Source organism: Homo sapiens, chromosome 8 (genome assembly GCF_000001405.40).
Source record: "Homo sapiens chromosome 8, GRCh38.p14 Primary Assembly".
Lineage (NCBI taxonomy): Eukaryota > Metazoa > Chordata > Mammalia > Primates > Hominidae > Homo > Homo sapiens.
The window spans coordinates 55,357,058-55,384,179 of record NC_000008.11 but is presented as its reverse complement, the minus strand read 5'-3'; the positions used below and the strand labels follow the sequence as shown (position 1 = coordinate 55,384,179).

The 27,122-nt window shown below is 42.6% G+C and overlaps 1 protein-coding gene across 1 annotated transcript in view, besides 5 other annotated features; it reads right to left on the bottom strand.

The window, feature by feature from the left end:
- XKR4 (XK related 4) overlaps positions 1-27,122 on the bottom strand; it is a 440,027-nt gene that overhangs the window by 157,875 nt on the left and 255,030 nt on the right. Inside the window, exon 2 of the mRNA NM_052898.2 lies at positions 26,303-26,502. Coding sequence (NP_443130.1) covers positions 26,303-26,502 — 200 coding nt within the window. The remainder of the gene's footprint in view (positions 1-26,302; positions 26,503-27,122) is intronic.
- Positions 10,452-11,077: an enhancer, noted in NCBI's record as "OCT4-NANOG-H3K27ac hESC enhancer chr8:56285663-56286288 (GRCh37/hg19 assembly coordinates)". NCBI's record gives its function as "activates a minimal SCP1, AML or CMV promoter by ChIP-STARR-seq in naive and primed H9 embryonic stem cells {active_cell/tissue: H9 hESC(naive and primed)}" and the evidence as "EXISTENCE:reporter gene assay evidence [ECO:0000049][PMID:30033119]".
- Positions 11,078-11,704: an enhancer, noted in NCBI's record as "OCT4-NANOG-H3K27ac hESC enhancer chr8:56285036-56285662 (GRCh37/hg19 assembly coordinates)". NCBI's record gives its function as "activates a minimal SCP1, AML or CMV promoter by ChIP-STARR-seq in naive and primed H9 embryonic stem cells {active_cell/tissue: H9 hESC(naive and primed)}" and the evidence as "EXISTENCE:reporter gene assay evidence [ECO:0000049][PMID:30033119]".
- Positions 15,786-16,287: an enhancer, noted in NCBI's record as "H3K4me1 hESC enhancer chr8:56280453-56280954 (GRCh37/hg19 assembly coordinates)". NCBI's record gives its function as "activates a minimal SCP1, AML or CMV promoter by ChIP-STARR-seq in primed H9 embryonic stem cells {active_cell/tissue: H9 hESC(primed)}" and the evidence as "EXISTENCE:reporter gene assay evidence [ECO:0000049][PMID:30033119]".
- Positions 18,240-18,934: an enhancer, noted in NCBI's record as "H3K4me1 hESC enhancer chr8:56277806-56278500 (GRCh37/hg19 assembly coordinates)". NCBI's record gives its function as "activates a minimal SCP1, AML or CMV promoter by ChIP-STARR-seq in primed H9 embryonic stem cells {active_cell/tissue: H9 hESC(primed)}" and the evidence as "EXISTENCE:reporter gene assay evidence [ECO:0000049][PMID:30033119]".
- Positions 19,629-20,323: an enhancer, noted in NCBI's record as "H3K4me1 hESC enhancer chr8:56276417-56277111 (GRCh37/hg19 assembly coordinates)". NCBI's record gives its function as "activates a minimal SCP1, AML or CMV promoter by ChIP-STARR-seq in naive H9 embryonic stem cells {active_cell/tissue: H9 hESC(naive)}" and the evidence as "EXISTENCE:reporter gene assay evidence [ECO:0000049][PMID:30033119]".

The window sequence follows — 27,122 nt, the reverse complement described above, 5'->3', positions numbered from 1 at the left end:
CACACAGGACAGATTGTCCTTCCTGAAACACGTCCTGTGCTTTGCCATGTGCTGTTTCCTTCTCTCGAAAAGTCCTCACCTCTAGTGTCTCCCTTTTCTGCAATCACATTCTGTGTGTCCAAAAATGATGCGACGATACCTAGGACAACTCAAAAGGGAGACTTGCAGATTAAGCTTCCAAATTCTCACTTGATGCCTCCCCTTACTAATAATATATTAAAATATAAGCCAGAACGTGGGACTATTTCTGAGTAAACATGATTTGCCGTATTGTGTAGAAGGGTACATATGCTGTGTCTCGGGAGCCAGATTGTCTGAATATGAATCCTGGTTCTGTCCTTTTTCTTCCTATAACCTTAGACAAGTTATTTTTCTGCACCTCTGTTTCCTTATAAGTGACATTGGGATAATAAAGGATCTACCCAATCTTCTAAGCAGACTCAGATATAAGATTGGGATAATAATGGAACTTTAAAGGCCACTGGGAGGATTAAATGAAATTAATACATGAACAATTAGAACACTGTTCTAATTATTAGAAAAATTGGATCATTTCAGAAATGTTAACCATTTAATATCTGTCAATCATTTTAGCAAATTTCAAATTATAATGCGAATTTGCCTAAAAATTCCAAAAAATTAAAAGCCAAACACCCAAATTCCTGCTCTTCTACATAATCAGAATGCCTAAACCAGGATTAACTTAACGGTTCCCCGTATACTCAGCTGAGTGATTTCCTCTCCTTCTCCTTGTCCTTCTTCTAGGCCCCCAGCAGTTCCTGTTGCTCTTTGCTATATGTACTGAGAATCAGAAACTGCACATGAGACTTGGGATGTATAAGAAACCTCTTCAGGTCAGAGATGTAATTAGGTAGATCAAAGGCTAGGTCTTTGCAAAGGCCGCATCAAATGCAACTGTGCTTTCAGTCTCTTTTATTTATTTATTCATTTTTCATTGTTATTTTTTGAGACGGAGTCTCCCTCTGTCATCCAGGCTGGAGTGCAGTGGCGAGATCTCAGCTTACTGCAACTTCTGCCTCCCAGGTTCAAGCGATTCTCCTGCCTCAGCCTTCTGAGTAGCTGGGATTACAGGAGTGCACCACCACACCCGGCTAATTTTTGTATTTTTAGTAGAAACGGGGTTTCACACTGTGGGCCAGGCTGGTCTCAAACTCCTAACTTCAAATGATCCACCCGCCTCAGCCTCCCAAAGTGCTGGGATTACACCACGCCCGGCCTCAGTCTGTTTTAGTTTGAACATGTGTTCATTCATTTACTCACCCAAATGTGCCTGGGTCTGTGGTACATAGATATCTACACATTGGACTCTCCCTGTAATTCACCTATCCATAAGAATATTTTGGAAATTAATGAGACCGTATACCTAAAATCCTGAATAGTTAAAAAAAAACCAGATGCTAAAAAGAAATCAAGTATTGATAAATGGAACTACTCTCCAGAATATAAGCTGATAAAGCTTGGTATTATTTGGGCATCCACCCAACCTTCTGTAACAGACTTTTTAACAGACGAATTTCCCCCCCTTAAGATGCTTATCAGTTATCAATAGAATTAATACCTAGTTGAGATTTTCCAGAATCAAAGATCTGAACTTTTTAAATACCCTCCCTTTCTCCTTCCTTTAGTAGTTCCACTGCAGTACTCTGGCAACATTAAGAATCACCTGATTACCTTTATTGCTATAAACTCTAAAACAAACCACCTCAGCCATATCGGCCCAAATTTATCACCCTTCAGTAATTCAGTATCATATTTTATTCTGCTTCTCAAAACCTAGTAGCTAGCATTTTATTCTTTGGAATGTATGCACAACTGCTTTTGAAAAGTGGTTGTTTAAAAATAAATATTACACTTTGTATAATAGTGTCATGTTCAAAGTGATCTTGTCCCAGGTCAATGACTACTTTCATTCATTACCTCTATTCCTGTTAGACTTGAATACAAGTCATAGTTTAAGTTCTTCTACTAAGATATAAAACCTCAGCATCAGAAAAATAATTATTGTTTTTCCTGGCCATTTAAAATGGGAAAATTTGACAAAGGCATCTCCAATTACAATGTTATAAAGCCTTCAAACATAACTCTTTCCTTTAATTGTAGTATTTAAAATTTGCATAAGATTTAATTTTTTGGGAGAAGCTTTAGAATAGAAACACAACATAACTGGAAGACAAAACATAAGGTCTCTTTCTGATCCTGATGTGGCCTCTCCCCTTAGTCCTGGCATTTAACCTCCTGGATCTCAGTGCCCCCGCACCCTCAATTTGGGAAATGAGAATAAGAATACACATTCCATGTGTGGGTATAGAAAGAGATGTGATAGAGGGGGAAGTGTTTCTATGAAATGATGCTACAGTGCGATGTCATAATCTTAGGTGGCAACTTGACTTAATTAAGGGATATCTGGATAGCTGGCAAAGCATTATTTCCTGGTATGTCTATGAGGGTGTTTCTGGAGGAGAACAGCACGTCGGTCCATGGTCTCAGTGGTGGAGATCTGCTCTCAATGTGGGTGGCTTCCACCCAATTGGCTGGGGGTCCAGATAGAACAAAAAGGCAGTGGAAAGGTCAATTCACTGCCTTTTCTGAGGCTGGGACACCCTTCTCCTCCCCTCGGACATCAAAAGTCCAGATTCCATGGCCTTTCAACTCCAGGACTTGCACCAATGGTCCCTCAAGGTTCTCAGGCCTTTGGCCCTGGCTGAGCTACACTGTCCACTTTCCTGGTTCTTCAGCTTGCAGACAGCCTAGAGTGGGACCTTTTAGCCTCCATAATTGTGTGAGCCAATTTCCCTAATAAATCCCATCTCTCATATTTAGAAACTTAAACACCTTGTTGATTCCAAATTATGTGCCTTGGCAACAAAGATAAAAGTTTTCTCAGTTAAAAGAAAGAGGCGAAGGAAAATAATTTGGAATCGACAATAGAATGGTAAAATATAAAAGCTAAGATCTGAAATACATCATATTTAATTTTAATTTTTTCATCTTGAAATGAAAATAATTACTTTTCATCATCTCCAATAAATCTGGATTTTTTATTCCTGACTTTATTTTTGACTATATATAATGTATATATTGCCAAGTCTCTTGAAGCGGACATTTAATGCATCAGCATCTAATTTATTCTTAGATGTGAAATTGTTTTAAAGGAAAACTGTTACCTAAATATTAGATCCACCAAAGAAGATAGAGTATTAATAAAACATTTTATAAACTGAAATAAACATGGTTTTACTTACTTTCAATCTGAGATTCAGAGATGACCTAGTTTGACTCTTTTATCAAATGCATACATCACCTTTTCAGTGTTTGGTTATAGGTCAACTGCGTGAATTAACAGTAGGTGCTAAGCACAGAGCAGTTACTAGAGACAACAAAGATACATCTGCGAAATCAGTAGCAGGTTCCTGTCCTAGAAACACACAGGGTGAGTTGATAAGAGGCACTTCTTTTGGTGACTTAGTGGATAGAATTTAGTTTCTCTCTTGGCATTTGGGTGTAAACCCTACTTAGTTTCCCATAATAAATCACTTATTAGTTCTCTGAATAAATTGAAAACATTAAAAATAACTAAGAATGAATGAAATGGAAAAATACAGTAGCTGAAAGCTCAAACAGACTGAATGTTCTTGTTGTTGTCTCAATGTCTGCATAAGAAGAAAGATGTCATGGAACTCAAACTTAATTTCCTGAGGGGTTTCCTTTCTCTTTCAACATTTAAAATGAACATGTCTTTGCTGGATAATTTTGGTTATTATGAGAGTGTCTTGCACTCTTGCACTCCTTACACTAAACTCTTTTTGAAGGGGGTTATGATAGGAAACATGGCAGAATTGCTTTCAGATTTGCTTCCTGTTGACTTCGGTCTTCTGATTTTTTTCCCAGGATGCCACAGCACATTTGGTGCCCAACCTTATTCCCCTTCATTTAAGTGTGTGCCTAAAACCTATGATTTCTCAAGGATGCTAGCACATATTTGAGAGAAACAGATGTTGCCAATGTTTCTCAAGTCAGTCTCTCATCAGAACCAATGGAGCATTCAGACAGCAGGGACAGGCAATTTCCCTTTGCCACGGGACTGTGTGTTTAATTATGTTAGAACAGGAAGAGGAAGCACAAATGTGTTTTTGAGTCAGAATTAAGTGCCTGGCTTTGAGCTCAATGCCTTAACGTGCATGATGTCATAATAAGCTATAAGAAGTGTTGACAGTGCTCATAACACTTGAGGTAGTTTCCCATTTCAGAGAAATAAATGAAGTCTCAGAAAGGCTGAGAAATCTGTTCCAGTTTTCAGAGCTTGGTGCACCAGCCTGGATGGTCGGTTCTCCCACAGCCTCTGGAGGGGAGGGCCTCTGCCCCAGGACCCACCCGAAGATGCCCTGGAACCCTATGCTCCGGGTGGAGTGAGGAGCTGGTTGGGGCCAAACAAAGTGCATCCTGATTCCGCTGGACCCCAGCCTGCAACAAAACCAGAAGCAGGGTGACAGCAGCCTGGTTCTATCTGCTCTCCTTGGACATACAAATCTGAAGAACAAGTGAACACCAGCACCCGGGAAATGCTGCAATGCCCCAGAGCGCATTTGTTGTAATCACATCTCATGTCTGTGCTCTGAGAAATTAAGTAGAAACCGGTAGCCAGCATGGGACTTGCCCACAGTAGGCATTCTGCAAAAACGCGTTGAATGCATGAGGAAAGAGGATGTTTCTAGCTTCCTGATGTTGCAAACTAAAAAGAGCATTTCTTTGAAACATTTCTAATTGGTATGGTGAGTATCCTAGTCCTGAAAAGTAGAGGTATTTTTTTGTAATTTGGTAAATTTGGTAATTTTTTGGTATTGGGGGATGGACTATGAAGCACCTGACAGCATTTGATGCACAATTGATGAGCAAGAAATAATGACATGCCTCTTGAGTGCATTATGTTGATATTTTGCATTCAGAGGAGCTGACATGATGAGCTGACAGAGAGAAGAGTGTGGAGTCTTCTTCCCGGCCACCAGCAGGATATCTGACCCCCAGACTGTAAGCCCTATCACTGACTTAATGATATCTTCCTTCTAAAAAGAAGCTCCAAAATTCTGCTCAAAGAACAGCAGGGTTACTCATGAGGGTTCACCTGGAATAAGAGAGTAACTCACACACAGCTAGTAAGCTGTTATGGATGACTGGATGGTGACTGTGGGAGTTTTTGTTTTTACATGAAGAAAAGACAGTATTTCCCCAACATGATTCATTTGGCAATATTGTATTCCATGTGATATACATAGAGTTGGCTAGTGTTCAAGCTAGAAGGGGGTGTTGGGACCATTTAATATTTGTATTAAAATATTAGATGATGAGAAAACTGAGTCTCTGCCAAGGTAAGACATGCGCTCATTCCCTTAGCTAGAGAATCATAGAGTCAGGGCTTGAATCCACTGCCTTCTGTCCATTGACTTCCCATTCTCCATTTCTGTCTCTCTCTCCACCTTTTTATGTAAGTTTTTATTGTGAGTATAGGCAATTTCTATGTGCAGTTTTGAACAGAATAAAATGCCCTTCCACTTAAGAAATTAAATATTACCAATGTCTATGAAACTTCTTCCTCCCTCCGCCTCATTCCCACAGGCAACCACTTTCCTGAATTTCATGTTAATCGTACTCTTGTTTTTCTCCATAGCAAGCTACCTCTCTTGATTTTCAATATTTCTTTTATTATGAGACCCAGATGCACAGATGTTCCCCAAAGCACAATGGATATTTTATAGCTCTTAATATAAGATCAGAATTCTAAGGCAATAAAAATAGCCAGTTAGCATTCAGACGAATCTTGCATTTGCACGTTATTAGCCACTGACAGCTCTCTTTGGCTCTGAGATGACACTGCTGACTCTGACCATTAAGAACTTGCTTTTTTGGCATTTCCACATCCTTTGATAGTGTAAATTTATAAGAATAATGCACTTCTTTGGGAATTCTTTGTTTCTCTAAATTCATTGTACTATTTCATATTCTACACATGTTAATGTAGTCTTGTTTCAAAACCAGAAAATAACAACAAGACCAGATCTCCTTTTCCCAACATTCACACTGTTCATGGGGACAAACAAAAACATTTGTACTCAAGCCCTGTTACTTTTAATTTCTATTCCCCCGATGAAGACAGCATCTGATTGGTACTATGGCAACAGGTTGCCTCGAGCATCGAATAGGTATTACGCGCACACAATCTTCCTCACAAATTCTCTTTATGAGTGTTAGGAGAGGTGTGATCTTCTCCTAGAACTCACTAAATTAAACAAGGTTGAAGAAAATCTAATTAGTGTTTCCAGAAGTGCCTTTCTGGGGTCTGATTATATCAGATTACTGTTCATATTTTCTCCTGTATTCACAAGGCGCAGGCACAGCCTATAGATGTCCTTACAAGTAGCAAGGGAGGGAACATCAAGGTGGCCTCACGACATGCAGGCAAAACCAACTCACGGTGTTCTGGGGTTTTTCTCTGACTTTTCCTATTTCAAGTTGTTCAGGTTTTTTCCTTCCTCCTTCTCTCCTTTCCTTTCCTTCTTCCTTCCTCCCTTTCTCTCTCCCCTGTTTCCCTCTTTTCCTCTTTCTTTTGTTGCTCCTTAAGGGAAAAAGCAGTGAGGTATTCCTCACTCATTTTCTGAGATTATTTGCTAGCGCTGCCTTGGCTGTAAGGTAGATACTGTGGATTGTAAATGGTCTGTTCCTTTGAAATCTGTACTAACACATCAGAGCTAAATATTCCCTATGTGACAAAGAGGAAAAGATACTTCTTGGGTACCTGCCAATATCAGGTATGAGACAGAGCATCCACCCTTCACATTGTCTCAGCAAATTCTCCCAGGTGCCTGCCTATGAGGTATGGGTTACTATCCCCACTCCTTTGATAAGGAAGCAGATGCAGAGAAGTAGAGGAGTGCACCACAGGTGAAAGTTACTAAGTGGTGGAGACAAGATTTCCAGCAAGGGTTTTTTGACTCAAGTTTCCATTGAGAGCCTCAAAACTCACTGGAGGAGGCAACCTGCAGACTTCTTTCATTTTCCAGGTGGTGGTGGTGGCGGGGACAAGTGCCATTGTCATCAGGCATTATAACTCGCAAATATTGTGTTACAGCTTGAGAAAGTCTGTGCCTGTTACACCAGGTATATTTGTGGGTCCGTCTCTCTCTCTCTCTCTGTGTGTGTGTGTGTGTGTGTGAGTGTGTGTTTGTGTGTGTGTATGGAGAGGGGTATGGAGAGAGAGGTAGAGACAGAGAGACAGAGAGAGAGAGAGAGAGGGTGAGAGATGAGAAAATAGAAAGAAATATAATGACTTTTGATGACTCATTTATTAGAATTAATGATATGCACTCAGTGCAGACTGCCTCTAACATCATTAAAATATGGCCACCAGTTTTAGGAATCCTATACTTTCCCAGAACTGTAGGAAATATCTCCACACATATGATACAGATGAGCTTGTGAGAAAAAAGATTAGTTTTCACATTTAATGGATTGAAGTTGATGTCTATCCATCTGACAAAAGTCTAATATCCAGAATCTACAAAGAACTTAAGCAAATTTACAAGAAAAAAACAAACAACCCCATTAAAAAGTGGGCAAAGAACATGAACAGACACTTCTCAAAAAAAGACATACATGTGGCCAATAAACTTAAAAAAAGCTCAACATCACTGATCATTAGAGAAAGGCAAATCAATACCACAATGAGATACTATCTCATGCCAATCAGAATGATGATGATTAAAAAGTCAAGAAATAGCAGATACTGGTGAGGTTGCAGAGAAATAGGAATGCTTTTACGTTGTTGGTGGGAATGTAAATTAGTTCAACCATGTGGAAGACAGTGTGGTGATTCCTCAAAGACCTAGAACCAGAAATACCATTTTACCCAGCAATCCCATTACTAGGTATATACCCAAAGGAATATAAATCATTATATTGCAAAGATACATGCACATGTATGTTCACTGCAGGACTATTCACAATAGCAAAGACATGGAATCAACCCAAATGCCCATTAATGATAGAACGGTTAGAGAAAATGTGGTACATACACACCATGTAATACTATGCAGCCATAAAAAGGAAAGAGATTGTGTCCTTTGTAGGGTCATGGATGAAGCTGGAAGCCATTATTCTCAACAAACTAATATAGGAACAGAAAACCAAACACCGCATGTTCTCACTTATAAGTGGGAGCTGAACAATGAGAACACGTGGACACATGGCAGGGAACAACACACACTGGGGCCTGTTAGGGGAGGGTGTGGGGGATCGCATCAGGGAAAAGAGCTAACGCATGCGGGGCTTAATACCTAGGTGATGGGTTGACAGGTGCAGCAAACCACCATGGCACACATTGCTACCTGTATAAAAACCTGCACATCCTGCACGTGTACCCTGGAACTTAAAAAATATATTTAAAAAAAAAAAGAAAAAGAAGAAAATGTATCTTATTTCCTCATAAATATTATTTTCAAAAATGTCAAGGCTAAAAGTATTCTGTGCTAAAAATATAGGTGAGTGGACAGAGCAAAGTCTAAGTGCTGTTTGCTGGAAGATTCGTGAGGTTTCAGGCCTTGGGGGCAGCCTGGGTGAGAGGACAGGAGCCAGCAGGTGCAGTCAGCTCTGGCTCTAGAGGGCAAGGAGCTCAGCCCAGACCAAGACCTTGGGCAGGAAGAGGTAACATTTCACCTCAAGGTTAGGTGAAACGAGTTTAAATTGGTCCACATCCATTTAGGAGAGAAACAGAATGTGAATGAGGGAACTCTTTTCTGATAAATTTAGACAGAGGCTGAGGGCGCTCTTCCCCTTATCCATTGGAGGCAGGCAAGGAGGAGGCCAGAGGAGGACATGGGCAGGTGGTGCACGCTCCGTTGTCAGATGGCTTAGGTGCTTTACATTGTTTATTTTATTCTGTTCTAACACAACACTGCAATTTAGATCTTTAAAATTATTTTCCAATCAGAAAAGCCAAGGCTCAGTGTCGTGAAGTCACACACTCAAGGCCACACGCTGTGTGAAGACAGCAAAGATCACTGGCAATGGAATTCCTCCAAACTGAGGTCCTTTCCCGGTGGGATGGAACTTGGAGCACAGGCCCTGGTTGCAGCTCCACCCATTGCTGGTTGCTGGGGGCATCACCCTTGTTACTGCAAACTGCTGGAAGAGGCAGGAAAAGTGCTCCTGCTGCATCTCCCATGACCAGCTTTTCACAGCTCCATCACCACAGTCACATTCGGTTTATGTCTCTGTCCTAAAACGTGTGCTCTGGGCCACTTCACTAGTTTTATTCTTTCCTTTATAGTCTAGAAATTCTACCCTTGCTACCACGATGCCCTCTCCTCTAATTTGCATTCTTCATTTATTTCCTAAACTTCGCACTGATGTGTTCTGCTGTGTGCCCCTGTGGTCTCTGAATTGTCAGACCCATCAGGCTCTTTTCAGCTCTCATCTCCACAGGTCCCTCAAGGGCATTTCTTTGGAAACTCCCCATCCCCATGCTCTTCCTGTTGCAGGACTGTTAAGGAATAGACATGATTCCAATACACCCACCTCTCTCTTATTTTCTTCTCTGGCTCTTTCTCCACTATGGCCCTTAAATGGTGGTTCACTTTACCAGTTCTGCGCTTGGCCTTCTCCAATGAGCTCTCCCTAGGTTGTCTCTTCTATTTTTCCCTGCTTCAACTATCAACTCAGCTTGAGGTACAGTGTGTGCAAATCCTCTCTCACTCTCTCCAGGTGGAACCGGTCACTTCTCTCTTTGGGTGTCCACTGACCTCTGGGCCTACCCAGGACCACTTAAGCACTTATTCATATGCTGCTCCCCCTTATGAGGCTGTAAGCCCTTCAAGGGTGAATGGTGTTAGTCATGCTCACTTTCTAGTATTCAAGTCAGCGCCTGCCATGGATAGGTGCCCACTGCATGTTTATCGTAATAATGTGATACATTATTATATTTTGTAATATACACTAAATAATGAAGATTTCCTTCAGGTCTTGATGAAGACACTGCAGCCTGTCTTTGGGAGGTGTGTAGCTGGATGAGAACAAGGAGTGATTTTTCAGGACCCTTGGGTTTCAGGATCAAGTTCACATCATTCCCTCCTGTTCCTGGTTTGGCTGTGCTACCGCACTTGGCCTGAGTAAGAGACCTCGCACTTCTCCGACTTCCTGACCTGCTCTTATCTGATCTCCCCTCCAAGCATTTGTACACTTGAAATCACTGCACTCATTCTGAAAGGTTCAATACTCACTCCCTTTGCTATCAAACTTCCTGGCCAAACTGAATTTGAAAGAGAGATCTCCTGTGTTCACAAAACATTAAAAAAAAAAATAAAACTTACTTCACATAGTTTTTGTAACAGCTTTTCTGTGTTGATTTCTTTAAAAAGATGTGACAAAGTGTTTTGCAATTACTTATTCTACCATTTATTCCAAAAGTCTTTGTTAAAAATACCTGTTTTCCATTGACATCATAGAGGATATATTTTAGATTTTTTAAAATATGAATTTTAACTCAATGTTTTAGATAACAAATATCTGGAGGTGCCCCTTCATTGAAGGCTCTATGCTGGAAACTCCCACTTTTCAACCCTAGTGTAGGGAAGTTCATGCCCCATCAAATTGCCCAAGCATTTGAACCGGTAATACTATGGATGTTTAAAATATTTTTGGAGTGTTGGCCAGGTGCGGTGGTTCATGCCTGTAATCCTAGTACTTTGGGAGGCCAAGGCGGGTAGATCACTTGAGGTCAGGAGTTTGAGACCAGCCTGGCCAACATGGTGAAACCCCATCTCTACTAAAAATACAAACATTAGCTGGGTGTGGTGGTGCATGCCTGTAATCCCAGCTACTCAGGAGGCTGAGGCAGGAGAATCCCTTGAACCCCGGAGGTGGCGGGTGCAGTGAGCCAAGATCGCGCCACTGTACTCCCGACTAGACGACAGGGTGAGTCTCCATCTAAAAAAAACCCCAAAAGTTTTTGTAGTTTTCGAGTCTTGTTAGTCTTGTAGTCTCTGAGACTTTTTCTACAGCTGAGTTATGAGCTGTGGAAATTTAAGATCACAATGAAAGTGCTGACAAAACCTTAGCCAGGCAGAGCTCAGCAGGCCCTGTCCTTCTGCAATCAGGGCTCATTGTGAGCTTTGAAGAGTGAATCTCCATGTGATTTTATCCTAACAAACGTTTACATACCAATTGAATCAGCTTCTCCTTCCCAACCCCCTTGCATCTGCTCTGACAGTTTGCAGGGCTGTCTCTATTCCACACATATACCCTCCTGTGTATGAGCAGTACCCTGGGGGGAAAAAAGCTGTTTTAAAATCCCTCAGTAGGAAGTGATCCTGGTTTTTAAGTTCTGCTGAGTCATCAAGAAAATATTAGCTTACCTCTCTGAGGAATACTTTTAAAATCAGTCTAATAGCAATCTGCTGAATAAATGCAAAATATATTTATACCCTAGAATATACACATCATGATGTGAAAACTATTTAAGAGGTTGTGGGAGCTTCCCTTACCCACCCACCTACCCAATCCAAATTGGGCCACAAAATCCTGATCCTATAACTGTCTGTGGCTTTCTAGAAAAAAAAAAAAAAAAGCTATCTGGGAAAGTACCATAGTAAAACACTTTTGAATTTTTTATTAAGTTGACCTTACCCGTCTTTCCTTTTGTCCTTGCTCAGCAAGCATTCTGATTACCATTCACATGGTTATTTTTAGTGTTTAGAAATAATAATTACAGTGTGTTGATATTCAGTCAAAGCAAACGTCAGCTCTAAGTTCCCACACTGGCTAAAGGTCAGGTGAATGGCAGATAAATGTGGGCTTCTGTTTCCTCTAAGGTGTGAAGTGCTAACACATTACTGAAATTTGGGGAGGTTAGAGGTTGGCAAATGAAGACACCACAGGAAAGGCCAACAAGCAGCCAGTGTTTGGGGCACCATTCCTTGCAGACAGCTCCTTATTGATGCTTCTTTGTTCCAAACAGGATTGAACTGACTGCTCTAGATCTTTCCTCCAGCTCTCCTCTTCCCATAGCCATAGCACGTGACTAATTACACTGTCCACCACATCCATGACCCCGCTCCTCTCCCTGTGCCTGAACATGTCTGTGTGCTCACCACACCTCAGAGGGAAGGAGAGGCAGGAGAGAGGAGAAATACTGAGTGGAAAAATACCAAGATTTGTGCTTGATTATTGGAGATAATTAAGTAGAACCTAAAAATAGTCAGGCCCCTTATTTCATATTATGTTCAAAATGATTCAACTTCAAAGCTATTCACAGCTGTGCTGGGGGTTGATATACCATAGAGCTGATTTCAAGCACTTGAATCAATGATAAGTAGAAGAAACTTCTTTCTGTTCTTCTAAGTATAACTTGGGGTGGTACCATGACTCAAGAGACTACTGAATGTGAAATAAAGAGATCAATAATATCATTACCTCCACGACAACCATCATTTATTCTGCCAGTACTTTTAAATAAAGTGGAGCCATATGGCCAACACACCAGTGAGTTTTGTGATTCTTTCCTTATGAAGTTGTTGGTGATGAGTCTTTAAAATTGAACTCCATAAATGTATTGATTAAGCAGACTAGTGGTTTACTATTTTATTGATCTATTTACTGATATTCCCAAGTATCCCAAGTATTGAACAATGCAAAGACAGACTCAAAAGTCAGAAATACAGGAAAATAGGTTGTGGTACTTTAAAAGTATATATGCAAGGATTTACTCTGATACCCAACACCTCTTTCAAGTGTTGGGAATAAATCTAATTACGTGCTGCCAATAACATCAGCAATTCCATTGCTTTGTGGAGACTGATCACCAGCATTGCTGCACAGACACGGGCACATATGGCATCCCCAGTCTGGTTTTGTTCACATTGCTATCTTTTCCTTACAGAATATCATTTTTCCTGACAAAGTATTGGGCATAATTTGTGGCCCAGCTCAAAGCCACTATTTTCACAAAAACTTTCCTGATTCTACACTCCCTGATGTCCTCCTCCTTCAAACATCAATAGCATGGCATTGCTACTTCCCTTGTACCATTTTGCATACGAGATTGCTCTGTGTCACCAAAGGACCTCAAAGTGACCACCACTAGGACACAGCACATTGACTTCTAATAAGGTTTTGGTCTCTCTTTTCCATTAGACTGAAATTTTGGAGAGCAGGGGGCTGTGTCTTTGTATCTGTCTTGCCTAGCATAGGGCTTTGTCACATACCAGGCGTCCATTCTTGCTTCTATTCAACAAACACCCAGGATCGCCTGCTCTGTGCTGAGTATGGTGGTTCCACTGTGTTGGGAAGGAATGTGCAAGTGCCCTGGAGTGCTGCCCCCATCATGCTGCCACGCTTGTTTTTGCATCTCGACGGAATTTTCCAGCTCCTGGCAGGGAGGAGCTGTCATCTTTCTTTTATACCCTGAGGGCTTAGCACTAAGTGCTATTGGATAAATGTAATATATTTAGAAAGACAAAGAAAAAAATCACAACTCTCCTATGTAGGGGCTGCTGCTCCTAATTTTTATAAGTTTGGCTCTTCACAACTTCTCATTGGTCAGACTTTTGGGAAGTGTTTTGAGGAGCTTATGTCTACTCTCCTTATAATTTTGGTTCAAATCAAGTCTCTGATGAAGATGAAGCTGCTCTTACAATTTTGTTTCATTACTAATGAACTACTGCTACTTAATAGATTTAATAAAGCTTATTATGAAGGTGGATACAATAAAGTAACAAGGGAAGAAATTAGAACACTTCTGAGAATTATGCCCTTTACATTCAGATGGGGCACTATTAAGAGCTCTTTCCTAAATCTCAACGGATTTGCCCCATTCTCAGCCTTTGTCACCTTTATTGACCTCACTGACTTCCTGAGCATTTGTGTCAGAAACTTGAGATGTTACAGAGCTCTTCATAGTCATCAAAATGACCAATTTGACATTATATAATAAAAAACTTTGAAAGCCTGCTTGCCTTTGAATCCAGCAGTTCCACTTTTAGCTATTTATTTTTAAGAAATAATTAAGGCTTGCTGCAAAGATTTAGTGTTGTTGTTGTTGTTGTTGTTTTTCCTACAGATGGGGGTCTCGCTCTTTCACCCAGACTGGAGTACACTGGTACAATCATAGCTCACTGTAGCCTTGAACTCTGTGGCTCAAGTAATCCTCCTGCCTCAGCCTCCTGAGTAGCTGGGACTGCAGACGTGTGCCACTGAAGCTAGCTGAGATTTAGTTCTTAAAGTGTTTATCATAGCATTATTTATTATAGCAAATATATATAATAACTTATGGTTTCAGAAGTAGAAAATGACTCAAAAAGAAAAGGATAATCCATATATTGGTATGTTATGTGGTCATTAAAAATGAAGAACTATATATATTATTATGAATATATGTTTGTGATGTATTATTAAAAAAGGACACAAACTGGTATCCAATATTGATTCTATTTTAATGTAATATATATTAAAACATTAAATAAGTTTACACAGATAAGCAACAAAATATAATTCTTAATTATTTCTTAGGGGCAAGATTTTTATTCTCTTTCCCTCCCTCCCTCCCTCCCTCCCTTCCTTCCCTTTCTTTCTCTCTCTCTTTCTCCTTCCTTCCCTCTCCTTCCCTTTTCTTTCTTTTCTTTTCTTTCTCTCTCTCTGTCCTCCCCTCCTCTCCCTTTCCCTCCCGTTCCTCCTTTCCCTTCCCTTCCCTTCCTTTCCCTTCCCTTCCTTTCCCTCCCCTCCCCTCCCCTCCCCTCCCCTCCCCTCCCCTTCCCTTCCCTTCCCTTTCCTTTCTCAGCATCATGCTTGTGCCCTAGGCTGGAGTGCAGTGGCATGCTCTCAGCTCACTGCAGCTTCAAGGGATCCTCCCACCTTAGCCTCTCAAGTAACTGGGACTACATGAATGCACCACCACACCTGGCTAATTTCTTTTCTCTTTTGTAGAGATGGGGTCTTGCTGTGTTGCTCAGGCTGGTCTCAAACTCCTGGCCTCAAGCAATCCTCCTGCCTTGGACTCCCAAAGTGCTAGGATTATAGGTGTGAGCCACCATAACCAGCCAAGATTTTCATTTCTGAGTGGCAGGAAGGTGATTTATACCTTCTCCTTCATGCATACTTGGGTTTTCTATTTTATCTTTAATAATATGTGTAATAGGGAATAAAAGTAAATATTTTAAAAATTCCAAATATGTAAAAGTTTTACAAATACAGCATTTGAAGGAGGGGAACTTATATTGTGTCCTTTCCTTTATGTAAAATAACACTGTGACATTCCACAGGAACTTGTGAGCAGTCTGTATTGGCTAGTCCAACTGAAAAGCCAATACAAACTGAAGTAGCTTCTGAAGATGGTAAAAATCTGTCAGCATTCTTCAGTCAGAGGACTTTTGAGTGCCTTCCATGTTATAGGCCTTTTCCTATACTTCTTGCTTCATGGTGCTCACACTCTAGTAAAGGTGATGAGAATAATAATAAAACATAGGGATGAATAGAATTTCAGAAGTCCAAAGAGAAAATCACGCAGAGTAAGTAGATGGGGGCGTCTGTGGGAAGGGGGAGAGCTGTGTGTTTTAGGAGTGATGTTGGAGCCCCATCCTGATTGGAAAGGGATGAGCTATGTGAAGACCTGGGAGAGTGAAAGGGCAATGGTCCAGCAAATGCAGGGTCCTTGATGGGGCAGCAGCCAGGGCCTGTCTCAGAGACAGAGGACGGCCAGCCAGAGCTGCAGGACTCACACGAGCCAGTGGGAGAGTGGGGAGACTTGGAGGCTCCACAGCAGGGGCCTTGTCACATGCCTGTCACCAGTTTGTACTTCATTTAATTGCAGCAAGAAGTCCCCAGGGAGTTTTAACGAGAGCAGTGAAGTGATAGAAAGATCATTGTGGGCCAGGCACCATGGCTCACACCTGTAATCCCAGCACTTTGGGAGGCGGGTGGATCACCTGAGGTCGGGAGTTCAAGACCAGCCTGGCCAACATGGTGAAACACCGTCTTTACTAAAAATACAAAAATTAGCTGGGTGTGGTGGTGTGTGCCTGTAGTCTCAGCTACTTGGGAGGCTGAGGCACGGGAATCGCTTGAACCTGGGAGGCAGAGGTTGCAGTGAGCCGAGATTGTGCCACTGCACTCCAGCCTGGGTGACAAAGTGAGACTCTGTCTCAAAAAAACAAAAAACAAAAACAAAAACAAAACAAAACGCATCGCTATGGCTGCTGTGTGGCAAGTAGGCTGTGGGAAAAGGTGAAGGGGGGTACCAGTTCACTGGAGAAGGGTAACTGAGCTGGTGTTTGGAGAGAGTGTTATCAGCGGAGGCAGCAAAGGGTGGTCGGATTTGGGATGTGTTTTGGAGGTGGAGCACACAGGACTTGCTGATGGACTGGATCGGGGGTGAGGAAAAAGAAGAATGAAAGATACTTTTCAGTTTGATTATTATCAGGAGATGCAAATTAAAGTCACGTTGAGATACTAACCCATGGGTAAAATTCAGAGGACTCAAAATGCCACGTTTTGGAGTGGATTTGGAGCAATCTCAAGACACACACTGCTGGTAGGAATATAAATTGGTCCCAGCACTTTGGAAAACTCTTTGGCATCATCTACTCACATTCAGTGTGTCTGTCTGTACCCCATGACTCAGCAATTTCACTCTTAGGTATGAACCCAGAAGTAATAGGTGTGCACATGTATTAAAGACACATTAAAAATATTCAATAGTAACATTAACCATATTACTCCTAAGCTGAAAACAAACCAGTGTACATCAACAACCACAAAATGGACAGAGATTTATTCTTACAATAAATTATTGTAGAGCAATGAAATGAATGGGTTACAGTTACGTGGAATCATATCTCACAAGCACAACACTGAATGAAAGAATCCAGAAACACACACACACACACACACAATAATGTATGTTTCTATTTATATAAAGGTCAAAAACTTGCAAAACTAATTTTTTCAAATAGTGATCACATGTAGAACGGTGGGCACACAGGGAAGGAGGGGGTAAGAGCAGGGCTTCTGTGATGCTGAAAACGCTCTTCCTTTGACCTTGGGAGTAGTTTCTCACAACTGTGTACTTTTCTGTATCTATGTTACACTTGAAAACAATGTTTAAAAATTAGGAAACAAAAACAGAGGATAGGAAGTGAGGAAGAGGAGACAGAGGATAAGATGAATTTTTCAAGCAGTTTGTGAAGAGCAAGAAAGTAATGTGGTAGTGGGTGGTGGCGTGGGTCCATGTTTTCTTGATTACAGCATGTTTGTTTGTGTGATGATGGCAGTGATGCAGGAGTGAGGAAAAACTGATAATGCAGAATAGGGAGAGAGAGGGTAATTCCAAGAACAGGGTGATTGAGCAGGTGGTAGTGGACTCCAGGGTAGAAGAGAAGGACTTTAGCTGGGAGCCAGCATATTCTCAGAGGAAAGGCAGGACATATGGGTGAGAAAATAAAATAGCTCTTGTTTTATTGCCTCTATTTTCTTACTGAAATCAGGTTAAGAATACTGGAGTCAGACCATTGGAATATGAGGCCACCAGAGAAAGTAGGAAGCAGTTCATTTTGGAGCAGGAAACGGAATTTCAAGGGGGACATAAGGTAGGCTTGCTGGACAAGGTTGAGTGGCCACGTGAGGTCTGTGGTCACGCATTTAAGGAAGGACATGTCAGTTGCCAGACTCGGCTGCCTGGGCGTTTTCATGACACAACCTCCATGATCTAGAGCGCCTGCTTTTGTCTCATACCATAGCCTTTCAGGCCTTCACCTCCAACTGTTACTCAGAAATAGCTTTAACAAGCTTCGTTATCAAGTTTCTCAGCTGGGAGCAGACGCAAGTCACAAAACAGAATGGGAAGTGTGTGCCAGCTCCCTCCACCCGAAAGGGGGGACTCTGCAGACCCTGTTCTGGACTCCCTGACTGGCTGGCTGCCCGGTGGGTTCTGCCAATAGGTGGCACTGGTGGGAGGTTGGAAGGTAGGAGGAGAGGAGAAGAGACTTTCTGGTTTCCTCTGCATATCAGCATCCTATTATCACTGGGCCTCCACAGCGCCTGTCTCCAGCCAGCCGCTGCTTTTGGCATTCCTGGCCCCAGCCTCGTCCCAGCCCAGGGGAGGCAGCAGCAGCCGGCCTGTGCCCTCCGCAGCCGGAATGTTCCAGGTGCGCCCCACTCCCTCGCTGCCTGGCTGGCTCCATGGCTGTCCCCACAGCTGCGAGGTTGCACCCCTTCTGTCACCCAGCACTCCTCAGGCAGTACCCTTCCCTAGAGGTCTGAGCCCTCTTCCTTCAGTCCTCTAGCCCTACAGATAAGAGCTTCTTCCTTCAGTTACGAATCTCCTGATTTCATGAGCATCACTTTTCATCCTCTCACCCTCCCAGCACCTGTGCCGCCCATTCCTCGATCTAAATCCCTTTTTTTTTTTTTTTTTTTTGAGACGAAGTTTCACTCTTGTTGCCCAGGCTGGAGTGCAATGGTGTGATCTCGGCCCACCGCAACCTCCGCCTCCCGGGTTCAAGCGATTCTCCTGCCTCAGCCTCCCAAGTAGCTGGGATTACAGGCATGCGCCACCATGCCCGGCTAATTTTTTTGTAATTTTAGTAGAGCCGGGGTTTCTCCACGTTGGTCAGGGTGTTCTCGAACTCCCAACCTCAGGTGATCCGCCCGCCTTGGCCTCCCAAAGTGCTGGGATTACAGGCGTGAGTCACCGCGTCCAGCCCCCTTCTTTAAAATTATCTAACATGTTCTACTTTCCTGGTCTGGGGTGGTATGCTACTTGATACATCATCACAAAAAGCAAAATCCAGCAGCTAATGATCTGCCATACTACAACAAAGCTCAGTGGTTTGGACCCACTGGAAGACTGTGCGTGCCACCCTAGTGAACGTCGTGCGTGAAGGGCCAGCGGCAGCCAGCGCGCACAGCAGGCTGCGGAAGAGTGGAGCCGGCTGCAGCCTCATGCTCCACATCCCAGGGCAGCCAAAAGGTCCTCCCAGGGGTCCTGAGGCTGTGATGCAACTGGATTAAACACACCACTTTGCCCTGGTCCTACCCAAGTTTTCAAAAGCTGTCAACATAAATTTCATAGAAACAACTCTCTTTCACACTATATTTCATCAGTTTATCTATTAATAATACTAATTAAACTAAGTTAAACTAATTAACCTAACTAAATTATGTAATGCAAACCTAAGTTTACAATAAAAAGGACAAATTGGTCGGGTGTGGTGGCTCACGCCTGTAATCCCAGCACTTTGGGTGGCCGAGGTGGGCAGATTACCAGAGGTCAGGAGACCAGCCTGGCCAACATGGAGAAATCCCATCTCTACTAAAAATACAAAATTAGTCGGGCGTGGTGGCGGGGGCCTGTAATTCCAGCTACTCAGGAGGCTGAGGCAGGAGAATTGATTGAATTCGGGAGGCAGAGGTTGCAGTGAGCCAAGATCGCACCACTGCATTCCAGCCTAAGCAACAGAGCAAGACTCTGTCTCAGAAAACAAAAAAAACCCCAACAAAACAAAACAAAACAAAACAAAAACCCAGCCAACCAAACGAACAATAAGAAGGACATTGAGAAAAACAGTTTCAGACACCAGCTTGACTCTGGCAGAATGCATAGCTCAACTTCAGACAACCCTGCCTGGGGACTAAAAGCAACCTGCTTGGCATGAATATTCAGTGTCCTGAGGGGCATCGGGGAGAACACGCTACAGAAGGAGCAGGGCGTGGCCTGAGCAGAGCTGGAGAGGAGGGCTCATCCCGTAGGAGTCTCGCGATGATGAGCATCCTTCCAGCTGAGGCGGTGGGCCCGGGGGTGGAATGTGCTGGGCAAAGTTGGATTTGAGCAAAGACTCGCGCGTCAGATAGAGGAGGGGACCAGATGTCCTTGATGCTGCCTTCCTGCTCCTTCCAGTACCATTAAGGACGTCAGAACTGTCTGATCGGAACTGTGTGATTCAGTCCATCAGAACTGTCTGACAATGGACACACGGCTGCTCAGGCAGAGGCTGCCTGGCCCCTTCCCGGAGCAGGTGAGCTGGAAGTGCTGTAAGCCCCCCTCTCATTTTAAACTAATTAACCTAATTAAACCAAATTATTGATCCTTCTACAAAATGGCACCACTCAGTCTGGAATGCACCCAGATAAATGGGTGTTTCTAAATATGTTCTGTCGTGTTGTTTATAGCGTCACATTATAAACTTTTAGTAAAAAGTGAACTTCTTTAGTACAAATGTTGCACAGAGCTTCACACACCATCATGCACAAACAAGCTTTCAATAAATGTTTTAATTAACTACGATAATAGCAACTGCAGAGTAGGCAGATCCAGAGGGACCTGGAGCCTAGACCCCTCACAGACTGGCACTCTCGCCTGCACTCTTCCCCCTCTGCAGAATCCAGAGGTAGGGGCAAGCACATTAGAAGACAGTGGTACGGGGCAAAGGAGGAAGGCGTTGGGCACAGGGGTGACTGGGATTTTCTCTAACCCAGGTCATTTAAATGCGGCTGGAGACAGGCTGGGACCTGTCTCCACCTGCTTCGCGATGAGGTGGGGCAAGTTGCAAGCCAGTGTTAGGTCTCAAGAGTGCTCAACAGGAGAGGACAAATGAGGTGTTTTTCACAATTCAGGTATTTCTTGGTTACCCTAGTTAGCAGGTAACAGTGTTTGCCGGATATTTGAGGACAACTTTACTTCTGACTTCCTGTGGAGCCTCATAGGATGCAAGACAGGAGAGGAATAATTAGAAACCCCTTCCAGCTCCCTGTTTCCCTTTTCCTTTCACGAAGTATTCAGGATAAACTGTTGGCAAAAGGAGTTTTTTTCATATTCTTCTAGAATATGAAGGAATGAGAAGTCGGTGTTTTTCGTTTTTGTTCAGTAAAGCTTTCCTGGGCACATGGCCTGTGGGACGGCATTTGTTGGTAACTCACTCAGCACACCCCAGCTAAATACACTTAGGGTGTAGGATGAGATTTTCCATTAGTGATAAGGTAGCAATGGGAAACAAAGAACTAAAGCCTTCTGGAAAAAGTGGAAACATTTAGGTTGGTGGATTGGCACTCAAACAATTCATCTAGTGAAGGCCAGATATTTGTTTGTTTGTTTTACTTAGATGGTTCCTCTACAAGGAAGCATTATTTCCGCACAATGTTTCCCCTGTGCAGCCAGGTGACTGTGCTGTACTTAGCCTGGGCTGTGGTTTATACACCCTCATTGAGAGCATCCGCTATGTGCCGTGATTCTACATGGTGTTCTGGGCTGCTCTGGGGAGCACACCCTTTGACCCCAGGGAGCTCTGATACAGCAAGGCTGTATTGCTGAGGAAGGCTGTGGACAGTTGTCTGTACATGAACTGGTATTTTCTCTGCCTATCATGGGAGGCTGGGTCTGTGCAACCAAAATAAACTATTCATAATATGACAATCACAAAACTAAAACTGACTGCTCATTTTACAGGTTCTTGGGGTCATTGAAAAGTCCAGATGGGGTAACTCTGACCATGAACCTTCTACCTTTGCTGGCGTCATTTAGACAGACATGGAGGTCTGAAATTCTGGGTGACTTATCTTAAGCTGTCTTTGTTTCTGCAGTCTCAAGACTTTTTAACTTGATTGTCCTCCACCATTTCAGGCTTAAAATGTCTAAAATGCTCTCCCCCTAAGTGGCTGCTCCTGCTGACCTGCTTGATTTTATTGTCACCAGGTTCTCTCTCAGTCAAATGGACTCAAGCTTCGGTCTCTTTTGGTCCATGCTCTGTCTGTCAAAAGACCTGACCATTCTCTCTTCACGATGTTTCTTGCACTTCCTTTCTAACACACACCCCTTAATTCAGGGTTCATGAGCTCAAATTTGAACTATTTTTCCCGTTTTCACATGCCTCAAATTCTTCACCTGTTATTTCCCTGTTCTAAAACTCAGGCCCCACCTGAGACCTACTCAGTGAGAATTTGCTTTTCCATAAGATTCCCTGGTAGATTTCTGCAAGATCAAGCCTAAGAAGCCCTATGCAATGGGCCAAGGGTCTGCCGAATCCTTTGTGTGTACTCTCTCATTTAATCTCTACAATCCTATGAATTAGCACTATTATTATCCCTCAGTATTCATGGGCAAATTGAGGCTTAACAACGATAAGAAAATTGCCTGAGATCAGGGGCTGAAGTTCAGGACACCTTGAGGAAATACTAATGTGGAAATAAAAATGTGAACGAGCAGTTAGGACCGGATACTCTGAGGAGGTTAAACTGAATTCTGCAGGACGAGTAAGAACTAGACAGGCTAAGAGTGAGGGGACGAGAATATTCTGGAGAGGTTAATAGCAGGTGCAAAGGCCTGGAGGTGGGAGAGAAATGGGAACATTTTCAGAACAGAGAGGAGCGCAGCGTGGTTGCAGAGCAGTGACTAATGAGGAGAAGGCTGTGACACAAAGGCCTTGGAACTTGCTCAGGAATCTTGTTTAATTTTAATGAGTGCCAAGGGGAACACTGAAGTAGTTTAGATTAGAGTCTAAGCGGCTCTAGGACTGCTCCAAGGAGAAGGGAAGGAAGAGGGCACGGGTGAGGATGAAGCTGTGGGCTATCCACAGGGGTCTGGGTGGGAGTGCACATGGTCCGGCCAGGGTAGCACAGTAGAAATGAGGTGAAACGAATGAGTGAGATTTTGCTGGAAGATACAACTGACAGGCCTCGGACCACATCTTCCTCAGCATCTTTGGCACCCTCACTAAACAGGTAGAGAGCAGCACCCTCCATGTGGACACTAACAGAAATGCCATGGTCCATCTCCGCGGTCGAGTGGGGTCTCCCTCCCTCCTTCTCCCCATCCCACTTTCCTTCCTGCCTGCCCTCCTCTCCCCCTCTCAACGTCCCTCTCCCCTCTCCGCCTCTCTCCTAGTGAGGATAAGGGATTGGGATTGGAAAACCATAACGACCTGTAAACTGGAAACTCTCTGGAAGTACAGTGAGCACTACCTGTGCAGGTACAGCCGTGCATGCAGTCGGGCCTCCTGGTGTGTATCTTATACTCCGCGGGGAGCTGGCTCTGGGACATCCCAGATCCCGTGGAGAGTAGCTGCTGCCCTGTAATATGTCCAATGTGACTGTGGAGCGTGAAGAGCTGCATATTCAGGTTTGAGACTCAGCTTTGCCCTGATTCCTGCTCTCTGAACAGATGCCAAACTGTGCCTCTTGGGCCAGTGCAAATGGAGAAACAATTATGCTCCAACAGTTCTCCCTGGGCCTGTCAGCCTCCAGCATGAGGAGGCTCCTCTGACTGAGTGACTACATAAGGAAGGAGAAGCAGCTGACAGTGTTCTAGGGCTACCCAGCTTCCACGAAGAGAATACAATACCTAATAACAGTTATAAAATGTCATATTTCTTGTCTGATTTTTCTTATTTTTTAAAAGCACTGCAGAGAGTGGTGGATGGTTGAAATTGGGTTTAAAGATCAATTTTCCTTCTATCCTAAAAAATAGTAATTTTAGACAGTCACATACAGAGTGACCATTCTCTCCCTGCTAAATAAGAATGTTTTAGATATTTTGATTCACAGCTATCTGCAAATCCTTTACAGATTTCATGCCTATTGATTATTTACATTCATAGCAGAGGGCTGTGTTTTCACATGTAAATCCCAATAATTTTATTTAACCATTGAAGATGTATGAAAATACATGTCAAACTAGGTTATCACATTTATTTTTCTTTTCCTAAAGGGGAACAGCTCTGTTCTTAGAACTCACATCAATTTAATTTATCAGCTGGTTTGTTTGTAAGTGGGATCATCTATCAGCAGAGGGGTATTTAGAAGCTGTCCCTCTGAAGACAGGTTTCAGGTTTCTCTTCAAAATGCAAAAGGAATCACAGAGTGTTGCCTGGGCTGGTCTTCGTTGGCTGGAGGGTCTGTCGTTTTTTACTGTCAGATATTTTCACTCTTTGTTTTGTAACACAACCATCTACCCACCTGCCTTGTTAAAAAATCAGTAGCAATAAGATCAACATAGTGGGCTTATTCCTCCTCTTGACTCAATGACTTGCATTGATTCTTAGTGATATTTGGATCAACCTGTCTTTTGGCCACCTTTGGAGTGAAACAGAACCTAGTTTCCCTACGCCATTCTGAAACTTGACAGCAAGGCTTGCCTTGGCTAAGGACGAGGTCTGGCATTCAACGCCTGTGGTACACCTGACGTATATGTGTCAAGCTTAATCGGTTAGCTGGGGACACTAGATGTGAGGAAAGAGCCAAAGACTCAAAAAACGCAACTTAACTCTTGGTTCCTATGTTTAGGATAAATAATCTGATGAAGACTAAGGATTGCATTTTCCTCATTTTTTTTTTCTGTACAATTTTATGTATCGTCCTTAAACTGAAAATGTGACCTCATTTTCTCAGATCCCTCTCTCACCTTCCCTTCTCTATCTCCATCATCTTTGGAAGAAAAATCTCTCCATAATTTTCCAAATCTTTTAGAAAACTAGTAGAGATACTCAGTGACCTCAGGCCACCAGAAGGTGACTTGCAACCCTCCACGTGTGCTCCTGGATTTTCTCCCTCTAGAGAGTTCCCAATTGTATAATTATACTAAGGAGTTGCCAAGTTGTTCTGGAGATGAGCACTAAATTCATGACAGAGATTTAGTTTGATGTTGCCTTTCAATTTCATTTGTATTCTGGTTTACAGATCATTTCCTAAAACATATACCTGGCATTATATGCCTATTGGGAATTCATTGATTCAAAGATAGAATAGAGCTGTCAGGGAGTTTGGAAATCATCCAGTTTAACTTGCGACCTTTACATTTGAGCAACCTGGGGCCCAGAGAGATTAAGTGGCTGTGAGAGGTTTTATAGTGAGGTAGTGAGACAGCCAGAGCCCAGGCCTCTGCATGCCCAGCTCATGGTCTTCAACCACCAGACGCAACGAAAAACAGTCATCCACAACTAATTCACACGGCCTTCTGCCTTCTCCGTGCTTTTCTCTTTTTCTGTGCAAAGACTCCACTTTCCTCTTCCTCCAATTTGCTGTCTAGCAATTGAGAAACATACATTGTGGATCTCTTTGACCTTCTTCTCAAACTTCTTGGACCAAAGCTATTCTAGTGTGAAACTAGGGTTGGGCCAGGAATCTATGAATAAATGGGTCACCAGCTACCAATACACATTTTCTCTTCCTTTTCCTATACAGGTAACATGCACCCTGATTCTGTCCCCCAAATTAAAGCACTCAGCTTAAACTAGCATGCTCCATGCCATAAAAAGTTATAAGGACAGTGAGGAGATTCCCCGGACCAACCAGAACAAAACTCAAATTGGAGCATGACCCAGCACAAGGGAGCAGCATGTGCCCAGAGGGGCGCACAGAGGCCCTGCTGAGATCCAAACAAAACGAGCACCTTACAATACGTTAACTGTGTAACAGCATCTATTTAGTTACAGGATTGACAAATTAATAGGAAATGCTTTCCTTAGAAAATGCCCTCTTATCCATCATCCATGTGCCCATGTATTCACCTGCTTACCCACCAGTCTGTCTAATCTTCTTGCTGCCTTATTCTAGAAAGGATTTGAGCAGCAGGCTTTAAAGAAATGCCTGGCAGCTCTGCTGTAACTGGAATAGTCCTACTGATGAGATCATCAAATATGAGAAAGCACAAAGATATTAATCTGATAATAATATCCGTTTTATAAAACTTCATAGTATATAAATATTAATAAACATTCACAAATTTTTTTTTTCCTTTATGACCTTCTTTCTTTAAATATTAGGGTAATCTGTACCATTTCCTTTTAATCTCCTTTTTCTCATTGTCTCTCTCTCTCTCTCAACATCAAAAGGAAATAGTAGGAATTACTCTAATACCATATATACACACACACATACATGCATACACACATATGTATATTAGAGACAGAGAGAGAGAGTTACTGCTTTCTTTGCAACTTTTGGAAATTATACCATTATAAAAACCAGAAAGCCTCAGTTGACTGACTCTATCCCCACATCGACCAAGTGTAAAATCATAAAGATTTTTTTTTTCCTACTAAGAGGACAGCTGGAGAGCAAAAATGCGCTGTCTTTCAATTAATCAGTCATGAGAAGCAATGGTAGGAAAACATCATGCATCATTCACGAAACACATGTAAAACAGCAGACACATCACAGGCCTGTGTCAACAAAGGGCATTAGGACAGTTCCTCGGATTGTGACAAAAGTAGCCAGTCAATCTTTCCCCAAATTCAGAAACCAAATTGCAAGCCCTTACCTTGGAGGGCCTGTAAGCTATGAGTCTGTACGATAATGCAGAGCTGCAGGACCAGCTGTGGAGCACTTTCCAGAAAGGTGGCTAGCAAATGCAGCATACTCACATCCGCATACTCATATACCATTTTCCAGTAAAACCTCCATCTGTCATTCTCCCCACTCTGTCGGCTTCGAATACCTAAGTATATTGTGTGGAAATATCTAGAAAGAAAACATGGAGAATAAGAAAGAGATGAGTGATGATAGTTTATAATTCAAACTCCAGGGTTGTTCTTTTCTGCAAGCCACCATATGCAAGCAAGCACAAGAAACAATTACCTCGGGGGCTTATGAGTTAAAGTCCAAAGTTAACTGCTTAAGAGTACCCATATTTGTAAATGCTCACTTTGAGAAGTCACTGCAATTTTAGTCCTCATAAAGACCTTCTGCTCAATTGCAATATGAAGAAGCGTGAGGTGGAATGTGGTGGAAATTCAGGTGGAGAATGGGTTTGCTACTTTAAAGATCTACATACATTCTTTTTTGTCAGTTTCTTTATGTGCTTAACGGTGTTCATGAGGGGATTTCTCCTAGGACAGAATGAAAGCCTGAAATACCAAAATATATGTGCATATAAACCTTCTTATGCCTTAAAAAATCACTTTTTATTATTGCAAATTCCCAACATATACAAAAGGAGAAAAAAATAAAGTAATGCATCCACTATACCCTTTCACTCAGTGTAAGTACAGTTGATCCTTGAACAATGAGGGTTGGGATATCAATGTAGTTGAAAATCTGCATATAATTTTTGACTCTCCACTTCACTAATAGCCTATAGT